General features: G+C 38.4%; 1 protein-coding gene across 1 annotated transcript in view; it reads right to left on the bottom strand.

Annotated features, from left to right (window-relative positions):
• Positions 17469-26093, bottom strand: part of TEAD1 (TEA domain transcription factor 1) — a 270317-nt gene continuing 261692 nt past the window's right edge. Inside the window, 1 exon segment of the mRNA NM_021961.6 lies at positions 17469-25097. Within this exon segment, the coding sequence (NP_068780.2) occupies positions 24984-25097 (114 nt within the window). The 3' untranslated portion in view covers positions 17469-24983.

The following is a 26093-nucleotide window of genomic DNA, read 5'->3' as shown; positions in this document are numbered from 1 at the left end:
TCTTCCTGTGTTGCCCAGGCTTGTCTCAAACTCCTGGGCTCAAGTGATCCTCTCACCTCAGCCTTCCAAAGTGCTGGGATTACAGGCATGAGCCACAACATCCAGCCCCTTTTCTCTTTTCTTACCCTTCTTTCCTATTTTCTTTTCCATTTTCTTTCCCTCCCTTCTTCTTTCTTTCCTAACTATTAAGGAGTAGATTGAATTCAAGGTCTTTATGTGTGTCAGTTTTTGTTTTCCAACAAATATTTCTTAAAAACCAACCATTGAAACGTAATGGTAACCACTGGCCCCTGTCTCCACCTCCACACCTAAGAAGCCCCAAATCCAGATGTGTCCATTAAAATCAGTCCAGATCTTCTTTACCAAGCCACTAGATGTCATATTAATTTCACAGCAGAATAGGGAAGCCCATGCCGGAGCTGAAAACCTGCAACAACAAAAAAGCATCTAAATACTGCAAAAAAAAAAAAAAAAAAGAGGGAGAGAGGCATCTTAATATTTGTCCTTAACACATCATACCAGACTTCTGCTTCCAGGAATGACTGGATGTGGTTTTTCTAGGTGGACATAATACAAAATGCAGCTACCTGAAAACAATGGAAAGTGGACAGAGCAGGCAGATTCTGGTGGGAAGTCCACGCAATAAAGAAAAGATGTTACAGGAAGTGAGCGCCCATTTTTGCTGTTTTTAGCTTGGAGGCAGGTGCAGCCATTGTGCAAACCAGGTGTGGTGCTGGTGGAAAAACAGCCATCTTTTTGGACTATGAAAATGGAAGGTTGAGTTCAGGGCAACTATAACTGCCAAAAGAGAGAAGAAAGAGTTCTGGAAGAGAAAGAGCCAAAGAGGGAATTCCCAAATTCTTTCTGCTCCTGTCTGTGGCTGATCCCAAACCACGGACACACACAGCAAAAACAAAAGCATCTCAGCCAGAGACAAAAGAGTCTAAAAGAGACTGGACCTGCCACCTGAGAAACAGAGTTTGAAGTTAGAGTTCAATCACAAAAAAATGCCTGCTAAAACAAAATAAACAAAACCTATTAGAGAAAAGGTGTTCTCTTATCAGAATGTAGGGCCTCCACAACTTAACGTTTATAATGTGTACAATCCAAACTTATTCGACATATGAAGAACTGGAAAAGTGGGACCCATTCTCAAGGGAAAAGATAGCGGAGATTCACTCCAAGATGACCCAGATGTTGGAATTATCCACCAAGGATTTTAAAGCTACTATTATAACTGTTCTCATGCTATAAAATCCACTATTTAGATCATACTTAATTGTGAAGAAATGAATTCTTTCCTCCTAAGATTAGAAACAAGGACGGCATGAATACCCACTTTCACTACTAACACTGAATTTTGTACGAAGGTCCCAGTCAGTTCAATATTTTTAAAAAGATTTTAAAAAAAGCAATAAAAGGCATACATATTGGAAAGGGAAAAGTAAACTGTCTAAATTTGCAGATGACAAGGTCATATAATGGTTTAAAAAAAGCTACTAGAACAATATGTGAGTTTACCAAGGTTAAAGGATACAAGGTCAATATGCCAAAGTCAAGTGAATTTCTATATATTTGCAATGAACAATTCAAAATGGAGTTTTAAAACATTTTTATTTATGATAGTCTCCAAAATACTTTTTAAGAAAGAAAATGACAGAAGCAACCCAAGTGTCTACTGATGGATAATTAAATTATAGTATATAAATACAATGGGGCCGGGTGCAGTGGTTCATGCCTGTAAACCCAGCACTTTGGGAGGCTGAGGTGGGAGGATCACTCGAGCCCAGGAGTTCAAGACCAGCCTGGGCAACATGGTGAAACCCCATCTCTAGAAAAAGTACAACAATTAGCTGAGCATGGTGGTGCACACCTATGGTCCTAGCTACTAGGAGGCTGAGGTGGGAGATCACCGGAGCACAGGAGGTTGAGGCTGCAGTGAGCTGTGATTGTGCCACTGCACTCCAGCCTGGGTGACAGAGCAAGACCCTGTCTCAAACACATATATACATACATATGTGGAATACAATGGAATATTTACTTAAAAAAGAAAGAAAATTCCGACAACATGGATGGACCTTGAAGATATTATGTTGAGTGAACTAGTCACAAAAGGACAAATACTGCATAATTGTACTTTTATGAGGCACTTAGAGTAATCAAACTCAGAGACAGAAAGTAGAATGCTGGTTGCCAGGGGCTGGTAGAATGGAAAGTTATTGTTTAATGTTTATAAAGTTTTAGTTTTGCAAGATAAAAAGATTTCTGTGGATGGATGGTGGTGATGGTTGCACAATGTGAATGTACTTAATGCCACTTAAAAATGGTCAAGATGGTAAATTTTATGTTATGTGTATTGTACCACAATTTTCTTTACAAGGTCTCAAGTTGGACATTAAAATGCCAGGCAATTAAAAGTATTTATGTTTAAAACTTAATTTAAAAAATAATTGACAAGTATATTCTAAAATTTGTTCGAGAAGGCAAAGGACCTAGAATAGCAAGAATACTCTTAAGAAAGGAAAACAAGTTTGGAAGGACTTAAACTACCTGAATTCAAGACTTATCATTAAGATACAGTAATCACAACAGTGTGTTACTGGCATAAAGATAGACCATATGAGATCAATGGAACAAAATAAAAGCTTTAAAATGCACCAATACTTATATGGTCAATTGATTTTCAACAATGGTGCCAAAGTAATTTAATGGGGAAAAGATAGTCTTTTCAAAAAATGGTGTTAGAACAACTGGATATATATATATATCCATTATATATATACACTCATTTATATATACATCATATACATGTATGTATCATATATATGTATATAGCCTCAACTCTTATTTCATATCATATACAAATATTTGAATTGATTGTAGACCTAAATGAAGGAGCTAAAGCTATTAAACTTTTAGAAGACAGCATAAAAGAATTTCCTTCCTTCTGCCTTGCCTTGCCCTGCCCTGCCCTGCCTTGCCCTGCCTTGCCCTGCCCTGCCCTGCCCTGCCCTGCCCTGCCCTGCCTTGCCTTGTTTTGTAACAGAGTCTCACTCTGTTGCCCAGGCTGGAGTGCAGTGGCGTGATCTCAGCTCACTGCAGACTCAATCACCTGGGCTTAAGCCATCCTCTTGCCTCAGCGTCCTGAGTAGTTTGGACTACAGGCATGCGCCACCACACTTGGCTAATTTTAGTTTTGTTTTTTTGTTTTTGTTTTTTTGTAGAGACAAGGTTTCATTATGTTACCCAGGCTGGTCTCAAACTTCTGGACTCAAGCAATCCTCCCTCCTCGGCCTGTAATTATTTCTTAAACAGGGCACAAAAAGCACAAATCACATAAGAAAAAAAGATAAAACAGACTTCATCAAGATTTAAAGCTTTTCCTCCTCAGATAACGAGTTGAGAAAACAAAGACAAGCCACAGATTGGGAGAAAACATTGGCAAAACAGCTATTAAAAAAGCCTTCTATCCAGATTATATAAAGAACCCTTAAAACTCAGTAATAAAAAGACATACATAGTAAGTAATGGGCAAATGATTTGAACAATCACTTTATAAAAGAAGATAAATGAATAGCCAACAAACACATAAAAAGATGCTGAACATCACAAGTCATTCAAGGAAGTGCAAATTAAAATAATAATAAAATACTATTAAATGTCCACTAGAGTGGCCAAATTTAAAAAAAATGAAAATCACCAGGTATTGTGGCTCACACCTGTAATCCCAGCACTTTGGGAGGCTGAGATGGGCCAATCACTTGAGCCCAGGAGTTCAAGACTGGCCTGGGCAACATGGCAAAACCCTGTCTTTACACAAAATACAAAAATTAGCCTGGAGCATATCTATAGTTCCAGCTACTCAGGGGGCTGAGGTGGGAGGATCGCTTGAACCCTGGGAGGCCAGTCTGCAGTGAGTTTAGATCATGCCACTGTACTCCAGCCTGGGTGACAGAGCAAGACACTGTCTCAAAAAAAAACAAAAAACAAAAAAAAACCCCAAAAAATAAAAATGTGAGGAACTCTCACACATTTACACATTGCTGAAGGCAATGCAAAGTGGTACAGTCAGGCCGGAAAACAGAGTGACAAGGTCCTATAAAGGAGTGGTCCCAACCTTTTTGGCACCAGGGACCAGTTTCATGGAAGACAATTTTTCCATGGACAGTGGGGGAAGGGAATGGTTTTAGGATGATTCAAGCTCATTAAATTTATTGTGTACTTTATTTCTATTATTATTACATTGTAATATATAATGAAATAATTATACATCTCACCATAATGTAGAATCAGTGGGAGCACTGAGCTTGTTCTCCTGCAACTAGATGATCCCATCTGGGGGTGATGTGAAACAATGACAGATGATCAGGCATTAGATTCTCATAAGGAACACACAACCTGGATCCCTCGCATGTGTAGTTCACAATAGGGTTCATGCTCCTATGAGAATCTAATGCCTTTGCTGATCTGACAGAAGGCAGAGCTCAGGCAGTAATGCGACTGATGGCAGGTGGCTGTAAAGAGAGATGAAGCTTCATTCCCTTTCCTGCCGCACACCTGCTGTGCAGCCCCATTCCCAACAGGCCACCGACAGGTACTGGTCCAATAAAGTGGAAGATATCCTTACCAGTAACCCAACAATCCCTTCTCCTAGAGAAATGGAAACACATGTTCTCACAAAGACAAGTATGCAAATGCACATAGCAGCATTATTCATTGTAGCCAAAATTTGAAAACAACCCAAATGTCCATCAGCTGGTGAATAGATCCATTGTGGTACATCTATACTGTGGGATACTACTCAGCAGTAAAAGGGAATGAACTATTGATACACAAAACATTATAGATGAATTTCAAACACATTATGCTAAGTGAAAGGAATCAAATACAAAAGACTACATTCTGTATGACTAAATTTATATGAAATTTTAGAAAAGGCAATATTACAGGGAAGGGAAGCAGATCAGCATATACCTGAGGCTACTAAGCCAGGTGAAGGGCAGGTTGCAAAGGGGTATGAGAGGCTTTTAGCAAGTGATGGATGTGTTCTGTATCTTTATTGTGGTGACATTTACATGACTGTATACAATTACCCAAAGTCATTAAATTATACAATTAAAATATATGAATTGTACTGTATTGTAAATTATACTTCAATACAGCTGAAGAAAAAGTCAACAACAACCACAAAATCACAGCCAAAGGGCTCTTCTCTATGGCTGAAAGATATTGGGTCCACATATTCCAGAGTCCCTTGTACTCATATCATGGTCTACTATATAAATAAATCATAATTTATTTTTAAAGTTAATCATTGCTGAACATTTGTAATGTTTATAATTTCTTTCTTTTTTGAGTGGACCAATGGAGGGGTGTAACGTTCTTCTATGAGTCCCTGGAGCACTTTTGCAAGTAATTCTACATATAAAATGTGTTGGGTTATAGATTATAAATGTACTCATGTTTCTTTTTTCATATGATTTTATTCTTTTTTAGAATTTCATTTGAATAGAATCCTACCTTATGTAGTCTTTCTTATTAATACATAATAGTATATATTTGGGGGTTATATCTGGTATACTGATACTTTCATGTAATGGTAAAATCAGGGTAATTGGGATATCCATCACCTTGAACATTTTTCTTTATGCTGGGAACATTTGAATTATTCTCTTTTAGTTACATATTTATCTTTTATGCTGGGAACATCTGAATTATTATCTTCTAGTTATTGTCAAATATGCAACAGATATATTATTAACTATAGTCACCCTACTGATCGATTGAACAGGTCTTATTTCTTCTACCTAACTGTATTTTGGTACCCATTAATCAACCTCTCTTTATATCCCCCTCCCCTCCACACTTCCTGGCCTCTAGGAACCACCAATCTACTCTCCATCTTCATGAGATCCACTTTATTAGCTCCCACATATGAGTGATAACATGTGGTATTTGTCTTTCTGTGCCAAACTTGTTTCACTTAACACAATGACCATGTTGCTGCAAATGACAGGATTTCATTCTTTTTTATGGCTGAATAATATTCCATTGTGTATATATAACACGTTTTCTTTGTCCAATCATCCATTGATGGATACTTAGGTTGGTTCCATACTTTGGCTATTGTGAGTAGTTCTGCAATAAACATGGGATTGCAGTTATCTTTTCAATATATTGATTTACTTTCTTTTGGATATATACCCAGTAGTAGGATTGCTGGATCAAATGGTAGTCCTATTTTTAGTTTTTTGAGGAACGTCCACACTGCTTTCCATAGTGGCTGTACTAACTTACGTCCCCATCAACAGTGTACAAGTGTTCCCTTTTTCCCCACACCCTTGCCAACATCCAATATTCCCTATTTTTTAAATAATAGCCATCTTAACTAGGGTGAAATCTCACTGTGGTTTTGATTTCCATTTCTCGGATGATTGGTGATGTTGAGCATTTTTTCATATACCTGTAAACCATTTGTATGTCTTCAGAAATGTCTATTCAGATCTTTTGTCCATTTTTATTGGGTTATTTTTTTTTGCTATTGAATTGTTTGAATTCCTTATGTATTCTAGCTATTGATCCCTTGTCAGATGGATAGTTTGCAAATATTTTCACTTATTCTGTGGGTTGTATCTTTATTGATTGTTTCCTTTGCTGTGCAGAAGCTTTTTAGTTTGACATAATTGTATTTGTCTAATTTTTGCTTTTGGTGCCTGTGCTTTTGAGGTCTTACTCAAAAAATCTTTGCACAGGCCAATGTCCTACAGCACTTCTCCAGTGTTTTCTTCTAGCAGTTTCACAGTTTCAGGACTTACACTAAGTATGTATGTATGTATGTATGTATGTTTTTATGTATGTATGTATGTATTTATTTATTTATTTATTTTGAGATGGAGTCTCACTCTGTCGCCCAGGCTGGAGTACAGTGGCACAATCTCGTCTCACTGCAACCTCTGTCTCCTGGGTTCAAGCGATTCTCCTGCCTCAGCCTACTGAGTAACTGGTGCACAACCCCACAGCCACTAACTGTTTGTATTTTAGGAGAGATGGGGTTTCACCATGTTGGCCAGGCCGGGCTCGAACTCCTGACCTCAAGTAATCCACCCGCCTCAGCCTCCCAAAGTGCTGGGATTATAGGTGTGAGCCACTGCGCCTGGCCACATTTAAGTCTAATCCATTTTTGGTTTTTTTCATATGGTGAGAGATAGGGGTCTAGTTTTATTCTTCTGCATATGGTTATCCAGTTTTCCCAGCACTATTTATTGAAGAGATTGTCCTTTCCCCATTGTATATTCTTGTCACCTTGTCAAAAATGTGTTGGCTGTAAATGCGTGAATTGATTCTAGGTTCTCCATTCAGTTCCATTGGTCTATGTGTCTGTTTGTATATGAGTATCATGCTATGTTGGTTACTGTGGCTTTGTAGTATATTGTGAAGCCAGAGTGATGTGATGCCTCCAGTTTTGTTTTGCTCTGGATTGCTTTGGTTATTTGGGTCTTTTGTGGTTCCATATACATTTTAACATTGTTCTTTTCTATTTCTGTGAAGAACGTAATTAGAAAATTCATTGTGAAAGGGATTGCATTGAATCTGTAAGTAGCTTTGGGTAGTATTGACATTTTAACAATATTATTTCTTTCAATCCATGAGCATGGAATATTTTTTCAATTTTTGTGTGTTCTCTTCAATTTCTTTCATCAGTGTTTTATTATTTTCCTTATGGAGATCCTTCACTTCTTTGGTTTAATTTATTTATAGATCTTGTATATTTTTGGTAGCTATTGTAAATGGGATTGCTTTCTTGATTTCCTTTTCAGATTGTTCACTGCCAGCATATATAAATACTACTAATTTTTGTGTGCTAATTTTGTATCCTGCAACTTTACTAAATTCATTTATCAATTTTACCCATTTTTGGTGGAGTCGTCAGGTTTTTCAAATTATAAGATTATGTCATTTGCAAACAAAGATAATTTGATATTTTTCTTTCCAATTTTTCTCTTTCTTTCTCTTGACTAATTGCTCTGGCTAGGACTTCCAGTGTTATGTTGAATAAAAGTGGCGAAAGTGGGCATCCTTGTCTTGTTCCAGATCTTAGAGGAAAGACTTTCGATTTTTTCCCATTTGGTATAATGCTATCTGTGGGTTTGTCATATACAGCCTTTATTGTTTTGAGGTATGTTCCTTCTGCACCCAGTTTGTGGAAAGTTTTTTGTCATAAAAGGATATTGAATTTTATCAAATGCTTTTTCAGCATCTATTGAAACGATCATACGGATTTTGACCTTGGTTTTGATGTGATGTATTATATTATTGATTTGTGTATGTTGAACCAGCCTTGCATCGCTGGGATGAAACCCACTGGATGATGGTAAATTATCTTTTTAATGAGCTGTTGAATTCAGTTTGCTAGTATTCTGTTAAGGATTTTTGCATCTGTGTTCATCAGGGATATTGGCCTGTATCTTTCTTTTTGTTGTGTCCTTGTCTGGTTTTGGTTATCAGAGTAATGCTGGCCTTGTAGAATTAGTTTGGTCCTCACTCTTCAATTTTTTTGAATAGTTGGAACAGAATTGGTATTACTTCTTCTTCATATATTTGCTGGAATTCAACAGTGAAGCCATCAGATTCTGGGCTTTTCTTTGGTGGAAAACTTTTTATCATGGCTTTGATCTCATTACTCATTATTGGTTTGTTCAGGTCTTCCATTTCTTTGTGGTTTAATCTTGGAAGATTGCATGTGTCCAGAAATTTATTCTTCTGTTTTCCAATTTGTTGGTGTATAGTTGTTCATAATAGTCTCTGATTCTTTGCATTTCTGTGCTGCCTGTACTTATGTCTTCATTTTCATTTCTAATTTGATTTGGGCCTTCTATATTTTTTTCTTAGTGTAGCTAAAAGTTTGTCAATTTATTTATCTTTTCAAATAGCCAATTTTAAATTTCATTGATTTTTTGTATTTTTTTTAGTCTCAATTTCATTTGTTTCTGTTCTGGTCTTTATTATCTCTTTCCTGCTAATAATTTTGGGTTTGGTTTGTTCTTGCTTTTCTAGTTCCTTGAGGTACATCGTTAGGCTGTTTATTTGGAATCTATTTTTTGATGTATGCATTTATTATTATAAACTTCCTCTTAGTCTTGCTTTTGCTGTATCCCATAGATTTTGGTATGTTGTATTTCCATTTTTGTTTCAATAAATTTTTAAACCACTTTCTTAATTTTGTCATTGACCCATTGATTGTTCATGAGTATGTTGTTTAATTTCCATGTGTTTGTATGGTTTCCAGTTTCCTCTTGTTTTTGGTTTCTAGTTTCATTCCATTACGATCAGAAAATATATTTAATATAATTTCAACTTTTTTGAATTTGTTGAGACTTGTTTTGTGGCCTAAGATATGATCTATTCTGGACAATGCTCTGAAGAGAAGAATGTATATTCTGCAGCAATTGGGTGAAATGTTCTGTAAATGTCAGTTAGGCCTATTTGGTCTAGTGTGTAGTTTAACTCCAATGTTTCTTTCTTCAATGATTTGTCCGTTACTGAGAGTCGGAAGTTGAAGTCTCCCACAATTATTATTTTGCAGTCTCTTTCTTTAAATCTATTAGTGTTTGCTTCATACACTTGGGTGCTCCAGTATTGGGTGCATAGATATTTATAACTGTAATATTGTCTTGCTGAGCTGACCCCTTTATCGTTATGTAATACCTTGGCTCTTTTTACAGTCTTTAACTTGTAGTCTATTTTATCTAAGTATAGCTAATCTTGCAATTTTTTGGTCTCTATTTGCATGGAATATCTTTTTCCATCCCCTATTTCAGTCTATGTGTGTCTTTGTAGGTGAAGTAGGTTTTTTATAGGCAGCACATAGTTGGATATTGTTTATTTATTCAGCCTCTGTATGTCTTTTACTTGGAGAATTTAATCCATTTACATTTAATGTTATTATTGATAGGGAAGGACTTACTACTGCCATTTTGTTACTTGTTTTCTAGTTGTTTTGTAACTCCTCTCTTCCTTTCTTACTGTTGTCCTGTGTGGTTATTTTCTATTGTAGTATGTTTTAATTTGTTGTTTTTTATTTTTAGTCAATCTATTGTAGGTTTTTGCTCTGTGGTTACCATGAGGTTTAGGAAAAAACCACTGTATTGTTACTAAAAGTTATTATTTTAAAAAGGTGACAACTTATCTTTGATCATAAAACATATAGAAACAAAGGAAAAACTGAAAAAAAATCTACATTTTAACTTCATCACTACTCCCACCCTGCCCCATTTTAACATTTGGATTTTCTACATATAGAAGTTTATCATATTAGCATAATGACAGATTGAATTTCAATCTTCATTTATTTATTTTTCTTGCCTTACTACACTGTCTAGAACCTTGGTATGTTGAGTAGATGTCTTAATGTAGGCATTCTTGTCTCATTCGCAACATCAAAAGAAATGTTTTTATTGTAAGCTGATTTTTTTTTTAGTAGATACTCTTATCAGTTCAGAAAGGTTTCTTCTAGTCCTAATTTGCTAAGTTTTTAAAAATCATGAATGGACATAAACAACATTTGTTTCTCACAATTCTAAAGGCTGAGAGGTTCAGGATCAAGGTGCTGACAGATTCTGTATCTTGTGAGCACCATTTTCTGAGTTTGAAAATGGCCTCCTTCTCGCCATCTCCTCATATGGTGAACAGAAAGGGAGGACTCTAGCCTTTTCTTCTTATAAGGGCACTAATCCTATCATGGAGTCCCTAACCCCATGACTCATCTAACCTTAATTACCTCCCAGAGACTCCACCTCCAAATATCATCACATTGGGAATTAGAGATTCAACATATGAATTTGGGAAAGGAAGGACACAAATATTAATTCCACAGCAGACATTGGATTTTATCAGGTGTATGTGTCTTCATCTACTCAGATGATCTATGATTTTTCTCTCATCTTTTAATATGAATTACATGGGTTGATTTTCTAAGTTAAATTAACCTTGCATTCTTAAAATGAACCCCATTTTGCCTTCATTATGCTTTATATACATCGTTACTCTTAAATTGCTAATATTTTGTCAGTTTCTATTATGCATGAGATTAGCCTATATTCTTCCTTTTTCATATTGTCTTCTTGTTGGTATTTTAGCCTTATCAAATAAATGGGAAAGCATACTTAGAAACACACTTTGTGTACCTTCTCAGATTCCCTTAACTGCCTCCCTCTTTCCTTCCCTTGGTGGGCACCCCACACATGCCAGGTTTCCCCTTCACTTTTGAACTTTAATAAAACACCACATCATAGTACATGGATCTCAATTCCTGAACAGCTGCTAAGTCGGCATGATGCAACACAGATGAAATGGCAGTAATATCCTTGTTGGGTGAATGTTACTCAATGAGAACTGGGAGATGGGAGCTTACCTGACAGGAAGATTACCCCCTTTTCTCTCTTCCACTGACTACTCCAAGATATTGTTCCTCCTTGCAACCTTTCCAAAAACATCCACATTCCAAGAATCTCACATACTGAGTAACCTAACATGTCCCTTTTGACTTACTATGAAGTGGTAGTCAATATAGTAATGCATCATATCACATTTCATTGGATTTCCCTTGCTTTATTTCTACTTTTCTCTCATTCATACTGTGCTGAATTTGCATTTCCCAAATAAAATATTAGCATCTTTTTCGAGATGGAGTCTCACTCTGTCATTCAGGCTGGAGTGCAGTGGCATGATACCAGCTCATTGCAACCTCTGCCTCCCGGCTTCAAGTGATTCTCCTGCCTCAGCCTCCCAAGTAGCTGGGATTACAGGCAGGTGCCCACCATGCCCAGCTAATTTTTGTATATTTAGTAGAGATGGGGTTTCACCATGTTGGCCAGGCTGGTCTCAAACTCCTGACCTCAAGTGATCTGTCCACCTCGGCCTCCCAACGTGCTGGGATTACAGGCATGAGCGACTGCGCCTGGTCAAATATTAGCATCTTAATCCTTGCCTCAGGCTCCACTTTCTAGAAGACCTAAACTAAGACCAAAATTGCCTCCTTTGTTCTATGCACTGGAGTATTTTATGTAAGATTCCATAATTTTGTTCCTTTAAAGTTTGATAGAGCTTATAAACCATCTAGGCCTGGGTTTTTCTGTGTGGAAATACTGGGAAGTACTGTTATCTTTAATGATTTTAAGACTATTCAGTTTTTCTACATCTTCATGAGACAATTTTCCTAAGTTATAGTATTTAAAGAATTCACCCTGTTATCTATACTTACAAATTTATTGGCATAAAGTTTATATAGTATACTTTTATTACCTTTTTAAATACTTGTATTAATCTTTATATGACCTGTAGGAATGCTCATATTTTCATTCTTATCGTTTTGGTTCTTTCAGTCTTGCCAGGGTTTTATATATTTTATGAGTATTTTTGAAGAACCAGTTGCTGACTTTGTTCATCTCTATTGTGTTTTCTATTTCCAAGGTTGCTCTTACCTTTAGTAGTTCCTTTTTTTTTTTTTTTGGTTTCCATTTTGTTATTGTTTAACTTTGTGTATTGAATGACTCATTTTTAGTCTCTCTTTTCTAATATGCACATTTCTAAGCAGGTCTGCCTATATGCTCTCTAAATACTGCTCTAGCTGCATTCCACATATTTTAATAGGATTTGACAGTTTTAATTTCCATGACTTTTTCCCATGACTAATTAGAAATGTTTATTAATTCTCAAATACATGGAGCTTTCCTAAAGATGCCTTTTATACTGATTTCTATCTGAAATCCATTGTGGTCAGAGAATACTGTGTGTTTTGTAGCAATCCTTTGAAATACATTGAGACTTGCTTAATTTGCAAGTACAGGTTTTCATATTTTTCCATATGTGATTGGAAAAATATTAATTTGACAATTTGGGGATATAGTATACACACAATACACACAAACATATATGTATTTTCAGTACTTCAAAATTTCTACATATTTCCTGGTATTTGTCTGCTTGCTTCATTAATTACTGAGAGATGTACGATTTTGAGTTGTACTTTCTTTTGTTGCTCTCTCATTTTTCTTTCATATCCTTATGGCAATTGTATTAAGTGCATACCAATTTAAAATTATTTCACCTTCATGAATGTCACCTTTTATTACACAAAGTGATATTTTCTATTAATTCGCCTAAATAAACTTTGCACTTGAGTCCTTTTTCAGGGTCTGCTTCTTGGGGGAACCTAAACTACGACAGTTCGTCTCCCCTGGTATGTTGTAGCACCACGATAGCTAAGACTCCCACCTGTGGTAAATTGGTATTGGGCCCATCAGGAAGGGGATACACTCACTTACGTAATCTCTAGAATGATAGAGAGATGGGGGTGGTGTTAATTATAAGGATGGTGGAATAGGTTGGTTGTTGCTAAGTGCAATCAGTGCAAGGATGGAAGGCAGCATCAGGCTCAACTTAGGGCATGGTGTCAAAGGACTCCCTGGCATTTAAAGTGATCCTCAGCCCATGCAGCTGGAGGGCAGACTGTGCTAAAAACCAAGCTAGAAGTTACAAATAATACTGAATTGACAGCCCTCACAAGTATCCTGTTAAAGTCAGGCACTAATAGTCTAATAGTTAAGGAGTGGGACCCTAAACATGGGGTGGGAACATCTGGATAGAAATGCTGAGAACTCTGAACCTCATATACTTCTGAACCCTCTGGGTCAGCAGTCCACTCCCTCCTGCAGATGGATAACAGGCTTCCTTGCTTGGAGACCATGTCAAGGCCTCAACTGAAATGAATGCCCCCCAAGATGAAGTGCTTGCCTCCTCCAAGGCCTGCCCCACCTCCTGTCATTGCTTCTAGACCAATTACTAGGGTAAAGCCTCAGCAAGGTCCAACTGGGGAAGTTGGGTCCTTGCTTCAGGAAGAGAAGGATCATCAAGACAGCTGCAGGATTTGGCTACTCTTCTCAGCAGGAATTGGGAGAACATGCCTGGGAATGAATCTTGAGGACATGAGACTAGACTAGATTAGGGATGGTTTATCAGTATGTGGGATAGTTTTACAATTCAGGATTTAACATCCCAGCAGAAACCTGAAGCTGATACTAACGTGCTGCTGGATAGCTCCTTGAAGTCTGGAGGAAATGATGGTCTACAGTAAATGAGGCGGAGATGCTAGAACTGCCCTGCAGAACAGAGGCAGGGCTCAGAAAGTTCAAAGTGGCAATGCTCCTGAGATGGATTTGTAATTTATGACCAGGACACCCACTACCTATGTGCCAAAGACATTTCCTTCACTAAAACCAGAGTGAATGCACTAGTGAGTGGGCTGTGCTGTTGGGAAACTCTGTAGTGGTTTGAAGAACAGAGTTGAGAGGTTTCCCTTGTGTGAATGGATGATAGGAGTCTGGAACAGCAGAGGCCAGATGACAGCACTTAGCTGTCAGAGGCAAGGTAGTTATTACCATAACAGGTAGCAGGAAATGGCAACCAAGGATGCAACCCCACAGGGATCTGTGGAGATGGCAAGATAGGGATAAGGTAGATGGGCAGTTTAACTGTTCTAATAATAAAATATTAAGATCAGGTGAGATGTCAGCTGTCAGCTGCTGCAGCGCACACACACACACACACACACACACACACACACACACACATATATAATCACCATTCCTCACTCATCCTTTCAAGATCTAAGCCTATTCTCAGACCCACAGACCACCAATCAAAGGAGAGGCTGGGGCACTTAAGAATGATACTAGGATGCCACATGAGGGTATTAAAGGGATCTTTAACCATTTGCCAGTGTCTATACATTGAAGAAAGGGAATCATGAGTATCTTTTTAGGACTACTGGATGTAGAACCCTGCTTTTTGGCTTAAGATGGGATTTGGCAATTTTTTTCTGTAAAGGTACAGATAGTAACTATTTTAGGTTTTGTGAGCTATAGGATCTTTTTGCAACAAACCCACTGTGCCATTGTCATGTGGAAGCAGCCACAGACAATAAGTAACGAAATGGCTGTGTTCCAATAAAACTTCACTTACAAAAATAGGCAACAGGGAAGATTTGGCCCATGGGCCATAGTTTCCTGGCCTTTGGCCTTGGACATGATCAATTTTCTTAACAATTCTGTATGCACTTGAAAATAATGTAGTCTCCAATTTCGGGGTTCATTACTTTGTATTTTGTATTAGAACGGCACATTAAATCATGCTGTTCAAATTCTTACACTTTTGGGGTCTGCTTTATCTGTAAGTAACTGAGTTTATTTTTAAAAACTCCCACTATGGTCATTTGTCAAATTTTGCTTTATGTAATTTGAAGCTATGTTATTAGGTGCCTACAAGTTTAACATCTTTATTCTTCCTGGTCAACTGAAACCTGTGTCTTCTTGAAGTAATCTTCATTAACTCTAGTAGTAATTTTTGCCTCGAGCTATACTAGTTTGAGGTTAATAGAGCTACATCAGATTTATTTTGGTGTTTTGATAGTATATATTTTTCATTCTTTACTTTCAATCATTCTGTGCCTTTATATTTTAGTTAGTTGCTTATTAATAGCACAGGGCACAAATTAAAAATCTGAGCTTCTTGGAAACCTAAGCAAGTGGGAAAATATTTGCCGAAAAGATGCAGTCAGGTAATCAGCAGCTTATCTGCTACTTGTGATAACCTACTTAAAATCAGGTGTATGGGGCATTATGGGGCATCAAACAGGACAAGGGAGGCTTTGAAGGCAATTTTACCCACTAACACCTCAGAGGCTTACACATTATTGGAATTTTATCAGTTGCTCACACTGATTACTTTATAACTATATGGCTTCCAATAAGTCGTAGCTACTTTATAACTATATGGCTTCCAATAAGTCGTAGCTATTTATATTAGCACCCTGAAGCAATAAGGCAGGAAGAATTCAATAGTACCCTGGAACATATTTGTACCCTGAAGCAATAAGGCAGGAAGAAATGACTAGGGGTTTCCAGCAAAGTTGCTTGTTCCTTGATCACACCAGAACCTTCCTCTTTGCTCCTCTAGTCTCTTTACTCAATGATGTTGGTTTACCTAGCGGGTCACTCTCTTTGCTGAACTCAAGGTGACTGGAACCCTAGGCACTAACAAAGGATGTTTTTGAGGTATTAAAGTACCTTGTTTTAGAGGAGGAGGTAGAAAGGTGTCATGAGTGGCCGCACCAGAACTGCAAGGAGGTGCTGTCACCTCTAAATTCTTGCCACTTACCAGCTTGTATGACCTTAACAAGGGCCTCTACCATCTCTAAGGCTTCGATTTCCTTATTGAAAAATTAGAAATGATTCCACGTTTCAAGAGTATTTGGGTTAAAGTAAATGGTGAAGATGCTTGGCATAGGACTTCAACAAAATGCTAAATCATTTCCTTCCCTCTGCTCTGAGCAATTCACTGGACCATGGCATTCCTCTCAAATGGTGGCTTGCTGAAAATCATCCCTTTTCAAAGGGGCAGGCAAGTTATTTCTCTGTTCATGCTCCCCTCCAGAGCGTGCTTTGCCTCAGACTTCAAGGAAATAAGGAGAAGCAAGACCCTCTGAGATCTAGTTCACACAAATGAAGGATCCCAAGGTACATTTGAGTCTCATTGTCAGAAGTCCAAGATAATCATCGTTTAAGAAAGTTCTTTGCCCCCAAGCCAGATTTCTCCTCTAGTCTTGAGCTGCTTCCACAGTGCAGTGAGCCAAGATGCAGGGGCCAAGAGTCCAGGCTGAACTGTCAGAGTGACCTTCTTTAAGGCTCCACCACATACTAGTCATGACTTTTAATAAGCTATCCTTTCCTTTCTGGGCCTCAGTTTGGGGGAATGATGTCACTGGAACTATAGTGAGAATTTTAAAGTACAATGTACATATACATTGTACCAACACACTTGGCACAGTGCCCAGCATACAGTAAACGCTTGGGGAATCCAAAGTTTTGTTAGGCACCTGTGCTGCATACACCTGAATCATGAACCCCATGGTGATGCTGAGGACAGGGGTCGGGAGGAGTTATAGCTCAATGTGCAATCCCACTCCTGAGAATTTAAGTACTGTGTAGGAAACAGCCATGCTGCATTTATCTCTGTACCCCATCCTCTGCTCTATCCCTCATTCCTGGCATGTGCCCAACAAGTTGGGATAACAGCAACAAAAAACACTCAATGGTTGGGCTGGTGTGCTAAAGCCCATGGGACCTGGCTTCTCAGGGTAAGTCTGGGATCGACAGACAAGCCATTCTGCAAAACTTATGTCAATTTTAATGATGCACTAAAGAGTGAGATAGGCAAGTGGATTGATTGACTTGTGGGTATTGTTTAAGAAACGCTGTTAGATGTAACACCTAAAGTTCCAATTATCAAGCTTGGTGGACACCTTCAAAAAGATGAAAGCTGTGACCTCCTTTACTCTGTCTTTCATATCATCACTCACAATACATAAAGCACATTTCATTCCTAACAACATACACTTCTGCAGATAAAAAAGGTGACCCACACTTTCATTTTCTTTATTTTTCATTGATACCGTATGAATACAAAGTTTCTAGAAAGCTACAAAATGTCTACCACTTTATCAAGAAGGCATCAAAATGTGTCACTTTGCAAAGACATGAAAACACCTGCAGGAACTGACACAAAAATAGCATTTTTAGAGTGATGAAATAATTGCACTTAACTGTCATGGGTATTAAAGTTATCACACATATGTACCGCAAAAGCTAGAATACATTTTTTTTTTTTTACAAAGCACTTTATAAAAAAATTCTCTGCACACAAATCCTATAATTTTCATATAACTATCATACTAAAGATAAATTCACTTTAAAGCCAACACTTAGAACATTTTAAAACAAAAAGGTACCAGTACCTAAACACAGACGTTAACAAATACAAGAATACTGTACTGCCAAGAGGTTTAATCAAATGCCTTTTGAAAGTTTCTGCAAATAGGTTAAGAAAACATGTGTGAGAATTTGCCCACGCCCACCCCCATCTCTCCAATCTACCCAAGAGGAACCCAGTTACCCGAAGGCAGGTTCCACAGCCCACTCCCAGCAGCAGTACAATATCAAAGGAACCACTGACCAGATGAAACGCTTACATCACAAGCCCATTTTATACACGTGACACAAAGACACAGACCGTGAGAATCCCATTAAGTCATTTAGAATGTGAACAAACACACGTGGCGAAAACCGATTTACATAAAATTTAAGTGTATTATTAAAGAATTAAAGGCTATTCAGGTTTCTTTTTTAAATGTTACAAATTTTTTTTTTGTCATTTTCAGGCACATACTGTTTTTGTTTTTACTTTTTTTTTCCTTGTCTGCAGTCATGAGCCTATTGAAAAAGGCCTACAGAAGTAAATCTTTCAAGGAGGTAATAGGGAGATGTATTTTTTTTTAAAGAAGTGCAGTTGATATCTAATTTACACAGTGAAACTAATGATAGAAAATAACTAATGAAAAAAAATCAGAGACTGGTTTCCAATTGATTGACACCTAGATCTGTCAGCCTCTCTTAAAGAAAGGGGAAGGAGAAAAAAAATCTCATCATGGAAGGCAGACAAGAGTCCACCTGACAGAGGTGGAATCTGATGGAATCTGACCCCATTTCATGATAAACGAGAGGAAACATAAATGCCATCTCAAATACTAAAGCGATGTAGTGTAGCATGAGTGACTCAATGCAAATTCACAGAGGAAAAGAAGTTACGGCTTAGGAAGTAGGACAATAAATACAAATATTTCATCTTATTTAATGGTGCATGACTTCAGTGAAACTACCCTTTGCAATGCAATAAATTTTAAACACAAACCTTCATTCTTAACGATATAAGCAACGGCTTTGAGAGAGAAAACTACTTTCAAACAAAGCACAGTAACAGTTGAAAAGAGAAGCAGGAAAACAAGCATTTGACTAATTTCTTCCACACTGTGGTATAGTGCTGGCAGGGAAGAGTTGAGAATTCCAGCTGCTAACTATAAGTTAGGTTGAGTACATTTTCTTTTCATTTGATAGTTTTTGTTTGTTTGCACAAATTTCTACAAATACTTACAACTTGGAGTGGATAAGAATCACTCCTAAAATTTCAGAGCCCAGAGAGGATATTCTTAAAGACGCCAGGTAGAGACACACAGAACGTATGTATTAAGAGTTTAGAGGCTAATTTTCAAAGATGTCTGATGTTATTTTTACATCTATATTAGCAAAGAAAATCTTTTTTTCCTAGTTTCTTTTTGGCTGGTGTTTGGCCTTCTTGTCCTTTTCACTCGTCTTCCTTACCTCTATCAGCTTTCCCAATTTCTACAAGGTTTGGATAAAAGCCAACAAGGACTTTAAAGAGTTGCCCCTTTGAGGGCTGGAACATTCTTTGAAAATGCCAAATTGTGAATGGTGCTCTTTGGAAGTTTCTCGTAGCACATTCATACACAATACTCGGAGTCAACATGTTTGCCCTAAGAAGAACACTTCAATTTTAACGACCCTAACTCACTTTTGTTTTGTTCTGCACTGTCGTCTCAGTTTGAGGCTTCCAACTTTCAAAATGGTATCATTGTGTAAACCAGATAAGTGCGCACTGTCATTTGAATGGAAAAGAAAGTCTCCACAGAGACTGAACACGAACACAAGGAGGAGGAGAAAGCTGTAGTATCTGTCCACCAGCCGAGATTCTGTCATTTGTGCAGAAGTCCCCTCATCCGGACGCAGGGCTGGGTGACGAGGTGAAATGACACACTAGGTCATCAGCACACACAAACACAACAGTTTCTGGGGTCCTTCCGCTGAAGTGTGCTATGGATGTTGGGAGGCCCCCAGTGGCAGACAGACTAGCAGCAGGCGGGGACCACGTCGTGCTCTTGTGAACAGAGGCCTGTGGTTGGTTACTCATCCCGGTAAACCAAAGGCATTACGGTGATCTCAAAATATTTTTGGTCTCTCTACAAATTATCGTTATTATGGCAGCACTTTTCTAAGCTGGAATCTCAAACCAAAGGCACTTTCATGCTAGAGTGCAGAAGATTCACAAATAGCTAAGTATTTGGTCATGAATTTAAAAGGCAACATTAAAAAGTACAATTTGCTTTTCATAGTAAACTATGAAGTTGCAACCTTTTGTTTTGGTATATACATTTGAGTGTGGTGAAAGAACTGACTTGTGTCCAGTTTCGGATTTTACACCAAGCAGTCAGTTTCCTATAGAACTGGAGAAAAAATGGGCTTACAAAACAAAAATGAAGACAATTTTTGCTTGTTTTGTTTCCAATATTGGGCCAATTCGTAAATGAACATTAGGAATTGGTGTAAGAAAAGGCTGGCGGCATGACTAAGGTATTACTAAGGCACTGCTTACGGGAACACTTTGGCAGCTCTGAATTGAAAACTTCCTACAAAAGTAACAGTAGTAAGAGAAATGCTTCCAGCTTACAAAAGGGCTCACAGTTCTGAGGCAGCCTTTTGCACTGCATACCCTACATGCAACATCTTAAAGATTTAAGGCTTTTCAGAAATGCCATGTGCAGGGCTTTGCCACAGAAACACCAACATAAAGAAATAAGCAATGCAGACATATCCTCCTAATGTTACAGGTGTGAACACTGACAAACAGAATTAGTTCTACCCTTCGTTAGTTCAGGTAGTGTACCAGAGCATATACAAAATTATACAAATTAATATGTACCTGGTTTGTAAAATTGACTGTCATCTCAGATGATTTAAATAATTTATAGTTGCACAAAAACAACTGCTAAAGCCACCACAGTACTGAAACCTTAAGAAGACTTGGGTTTAAAAGTCGTTCGGGGACTTTTGACACCAAGTACTTGGAATGGGGGCTGTTTTTTGGCTGGTCTGAGTGCAGGACTTTGCTGCTAGGATGCTTACCAAATAGAAATTTGACTCAGAGCCTGTGGCTGGGGAATTGTCCTCAGGAAGTAAAATGGCTCGCCAGCTTTCCTACCTGCTTGTGGATGCCTCAGATAGCAATGGTCGGACAGGACACTTCAGTGTGGGAAGCAGCATCCGGTGAGGCTGTGCTCTGGCACAGGGGGATCCTGAATCTCCCCATCTCTTCTAAGCTGACCTGTCCACACATTCTGAGGGATTAAGCTTAGAGCACCTAAGAACAGCAGCCTCCCCCAGGAGAGGCCAGGGACCAAAGTGGCAGGAATCCTAGACAACTCTCACGCTTTTTCTGTCACTAACCAGCTGGGTGACTCTAAACATGTCACCTCCCCTCTGGCCTCAACTTTCTCATCGACAAAACGAAGGAGAGTAGACTGTGCTTTCAGCTCAAGACAGAAAACGTATCTTAGCCCTCTTCTGGTACCAATCCTTCCATCCTCCATCTCTAAAGGTGAAATGTTCCAGAGGTTTCAATAAATTTACAGAACAGCATTGCTTGTAAGGCAGAAACTAGAAGAAGCCCAGAGGAAATATGCCGAAATAAGTAAAGGTTTGATAATGAGACCCACGAGAAATAATGAAAATTGCTGAGACTTTTTTTAACGCCAGTAAACTAAGGGATGAAGGTCAAATCAGAAACACTCTTTAAACAGGTGTGAGTTGATTAAAGGGATGATGGTGACCAGCTGTTCCCAACTTCCCCAGTGCTGAGTGAAAGAATACTTGTAGCGAGAGAGAAATTGTTGTGAAACAGAAGTTCTGAAACAGGAAGAAATATGGACACAATGTCACCTGCCTCTTGCAAGGCTCTAGGAGAGATGCTTTCACAGGGTAAAATGAAAGGGAAAACAATTTCAAATGTGGTCATTGTGACCTGTAACATCTTGGGCAACAGATCTTGACCAGGGATCATTTTGCACCCGATGGGATATTTGACAATATCTGGAGACACGCTGGGTGGGGAATAGGTGCTAGTGGTACTACTGGGTAGAGGCCAGGGATATTAGTAAATCTCCTACAGTGCAAAGGACAGCTCTGCAGAACAAAGAATTACCCAGTCCAAAATGTCAATGGTGTCAAGGTTGAGAAACCCTGGTCTCAGGTAACTTGGGCCATTCTGGGGTTCTAGAACATGTGTGAATAAGTCCTTGTTTTATTCTCAGCCTCTATGAGGGAAATGAATGCCCAGAGACCAGAGCCCCATTCTGCAGCTCCTCCCTGTTTAGGCTGTGGAAAACTGGCCTCCAAACTCTGCAGTGACAACACAAGATGGCCGTGAAGCAAGCCTGGCACCAGAGGGTCTCGAGGGGATAGAGCACCTGGAAGAGAAGCAAGACGGGGCTCTGGGAAGGCTTCTTTAGTATGCTTTAGAAAGCTTTTATAACAAAGGGAGACTGCCATACAGAATGAAGGACAAAAGACAGACTCAGATTAGATGTTGTGATGCCAATCTCACCCAAAGGTCTAATCTGGGAGAGACAAAGAGAAGCCCACTGGGATGACTGGACCAGTGGTTAAGACAGGGAAAATATCTGTCCTGGAGAAAGCTTTAGAAGAACAAGACAAGAAGTAAACTTTTAAAAATCCTTAGAAATGTTGTAAGAGCAAGGAGTAAACCTCAAGGTCAATCATAGAAACCCAGAAAACTCAACTGCAAAGGCATTCTGAGCAAGAGGATGCAGGTGGTGAAGCACCAGGGGGGCCCAGCTGACCCTGTGAGGTCAGCAGACTGGGCTGTCCCCGTCTCTGTGCCAACAGAGTTGTCCTCTAGCTGTTCTTCTTGGGTCCCAGTATTTTTGTGCTTTGGAAAGGAAATCCCAAGAGCCCTCCTGGCTGCACTGAAAAGTACCATTCCTGGGTAGAATATGAACCAGACAGCTCTCCCACTGAAGTTCTAGGACAGCTTGGCTTTTAGCCATTTGTGCTCGCCTGGTCATAAACTCCTGGTCCTGGGAGAGGATGGGGCTTCCCTTAAGGAAAGATGCAGGAAATAAGAGCAAAAGAAACATCCCTAAGAGGGGTGTTCAACAGAAGTCACTGTAAATGTGACAACCGTGAAAGGGGACACCTGGGGCAATCCTTCACAGGCCAGCCTGGAATCAGGGACCCAACAGTAGTCTGTTTATGAAGGGCAGAGGAGCACTGTCCAACTGGTTTCTAGAAGGAATGGGCATTCCAAATGGGGACAGTTTTGCACTTTCTCCTCTGGTCTTCCCAATTTGGGAGAGGTCAGGCTTAGTGTTTTGCTGTTTCCCACGAGCCAGCCACATCCTCATGTTAGGGACCACAAGATGCTGACTGATGTAATAATAGAAAAGCAGGGTCAAAGCAGGTGTTGAGACAGGGAAGGGGGTGTGTAAGTTAATTGGATGTGGTAGAACTAAGTTTTTTATTTTCTAGCTTGGTGGAAAAATCTTGACATGTTTTACAAGTTAAAAAACTTATTTCATGTTCTATTGTGTGCACATGTTCCTACCACTTACAAAAACATATTTCTTTGGGAAGCTGGAGGAGCACTCCCTGTTCTCTCCCCAGTGAAACACTTAAGGGAAATAACTCAAAACATCTGGCCACATCAAACCAACTCTGCCTGGGCAATGCTCTGGAATACTTAGATTGGAAAGTTGAATCTCTCCTGGCAAAAGAATCTCCCAAATGAGCCTATTTGAAAAGGTCAGAGATAGGTAGCTGGGCCTCTTAAACCTAAGTCAAACAAGTACTGTAACTTACTGAGAGACGCTAAAGAAATGGATGTGCTTCAAGAGGATGTATCTAAGTCTACAGACACATTGAGATATACGTACATATCAGCACCTAGCAAACTGAGTGACACTAAACAAGTGTTCACTAAATGTGTTAACTCTATATGTGCATTTGTGTATATGTATACACATACCTACACATATAGCCCTAGTTATAGCAGGTTAATATGCATATTGGGTCACTAGAAATAAAGAATGTATCCACAGGCTGGTGAGGATGCTTACAATTTTCTGGGGAGCAGAGATGCTAAAACTGATGAGCCTTTTACTTGTCTATTTGATGAAATTTTCTCCCAGCCACAGATTCTGTATACTTTGCATCTCACAGTGCAGTATTCCGTATTCATGCCAATTTTAAAATTTTGTTATTAAAATTCAGTGGTTCAAATATTTACTCATCTTAATAAAAAATTTGGTCGTCCATATAAAATATAACTGCACACACAAGACTATAAACATTGTAAGTTTAGATTTTTTCAGTATGTATCTACTTATTGCAAAAAGAGCCATTTTTTCTTTTTCATTAAATAATCCATCATCACATTAGTACAATACAATTTTATATTTTTTAAATATACTATATATGTTAAGGATAAGGGGTGAAGTTTTCTTCCTTTGTAATACCTGTTCAAGAGTTTAATGGATTAGGAGATTAGTGTTAACCTTGAGGATAAAAGTACAAATTTGTCTCATTAGGACACTTCTACCAAGCATTTCTTAAGGCTATAGTTTAACATTTGGTTTCAAAAAGAAAAAAAAAGGTTTCATTTAAAAAATAATTTAGTGAATTACATTCTTTCATAACTTCCACCCTAATTAGTTACAAAGATAAGTCTAAAGATTCTTAGTTTTGTGTACTAATTTACATTTATATTTAAAGATTAATTTTACTTGTATCTTAAAACAAGAATTTTATGTTGGAAAAAAGAGAACTAAATACATTTGTATAAAGGCTGTAAATGTCCCATGGCAAATGCTCTGTCTCAATATTTTCTACCACAATTAGAAACAGGGCTCTGCAGAGAGAGACTTGGGTTGTTCAGGTTCACCTTTCCCGAGGAATTGTGGGCTGCACATCTGAAGAACATAGAGAAACAACTCAATTTCTCTTTTTACAACTGTACCAGAACTTCACAGCTACAATGATAGTATGAACACATGAAAAAATGACTTCACTCAAACAAGATTTAGAAAAGTCGGGGTGACCTCGGGGCCAGGGCACCACCCTGTGTGGTGAGGTTTACAGTCAGTCGTTCGATAATGGAGAGAGAGTGTGTGTGTGCACATATGTGTGTGTGTATATACAGATATCTATATATATAAATAACCATGTTCAGTCCTTTACAAGCCTGTAAATATGATGTTGTGCTCCGTGTTCACTATTTGAAACTTCAAACACACAGGCCATGCAGAGTAGAGTTTCTTGTGTATCCCTGTTTGTTACCACCTGTTAAGATAAAAAAAAAGTATATAATACCAAAAGGATGAAAACATATTCCATCTGTGTATGACGACTATGACTTAATTGGAGAAGAACAAGTCTTAAGTCCAAGAGAGATTTGCTCAGCCTCACTCTGTGTCCTCTAACACAGATTCAGAACACTACAACTATGACCTGAAGCCCATCTAAACGTGGTTATCATAAGTAAGAAATACCTTCTAGATAGGGTCACTCATAATCTATGCCCAAGAAAGGACCACAAAAATTAGCACATTTGTGTTTTTGTTTTTTAGGGGGCTGATTTCTTTACAACAAAGAATTCTCTTTAATTCTGTCCCGCAAGGCAATCATTTACTCTAAGAAATTGTCTTATTTTTTATCTGAATTTTTAAATTGACAAGTAATAATTCCAGTCCCTACCTAAAAGAATAAAGTCTTGCAGTACATATATTTATGGGCTACAATGTGATGATAGATGTATATACCTTGTGGGACGATTACATCAGGCTAACATACCAAGCACTTCACGTACTTCTTTGTGATGAGAACATTTAAAATCCACTCTTTTTCCCATCCTAGTCTTAAACTTCTGCTAAATCTTGTTTCACAATAGCCAAGGACAGAGAAGCTGCAGGAGTGCCTCCCTCACCACTATGTTAACCAGTAGTGCCTAGACCCAGAAAAGTATCTGCTGAATCAAGGAACAGTGGGATAGGTAGAATCCTGTGGAATGACATTCTTTCCATAGACATGGGCTTTATCTTTCAAAATGTATTGTGAAATACTCATGCTTCCCCTCCAGTCTCTTGAATCCCTCTAATTATCCCTCGTATTTTGAGTTCTCCAGCCCAAATCATTGCAGCTCCCTCCACACCACACAGACCCTGACTCCTTTCTGTCCTCACTCTGGTCTCAATTCCCCATGCTATTCTCAGAAGGAACTTTCTAAGAGCAAATCTAATCAAGCAAAAACATGAAACGCGTCAGTGACTCTGTTACTTT

This window comes from Homo sapiens, chromosome 11 (assembly GCF_000001405.40).
Source record: "Homo sapiens chromosome 11, GRCh38.p14 Primary Assembly".
In the NCBI taxonomy this organism is placed as follows: Eukaryota; Metazoa; Chordata; class Mammalia; order Primates; family Hominidae; genus Homo; species Homo sapiens.
Note: the sequence above shows the minus strand (reverse complement) of the source record. Positions and strands in the feature narration are given on the sequence as shown.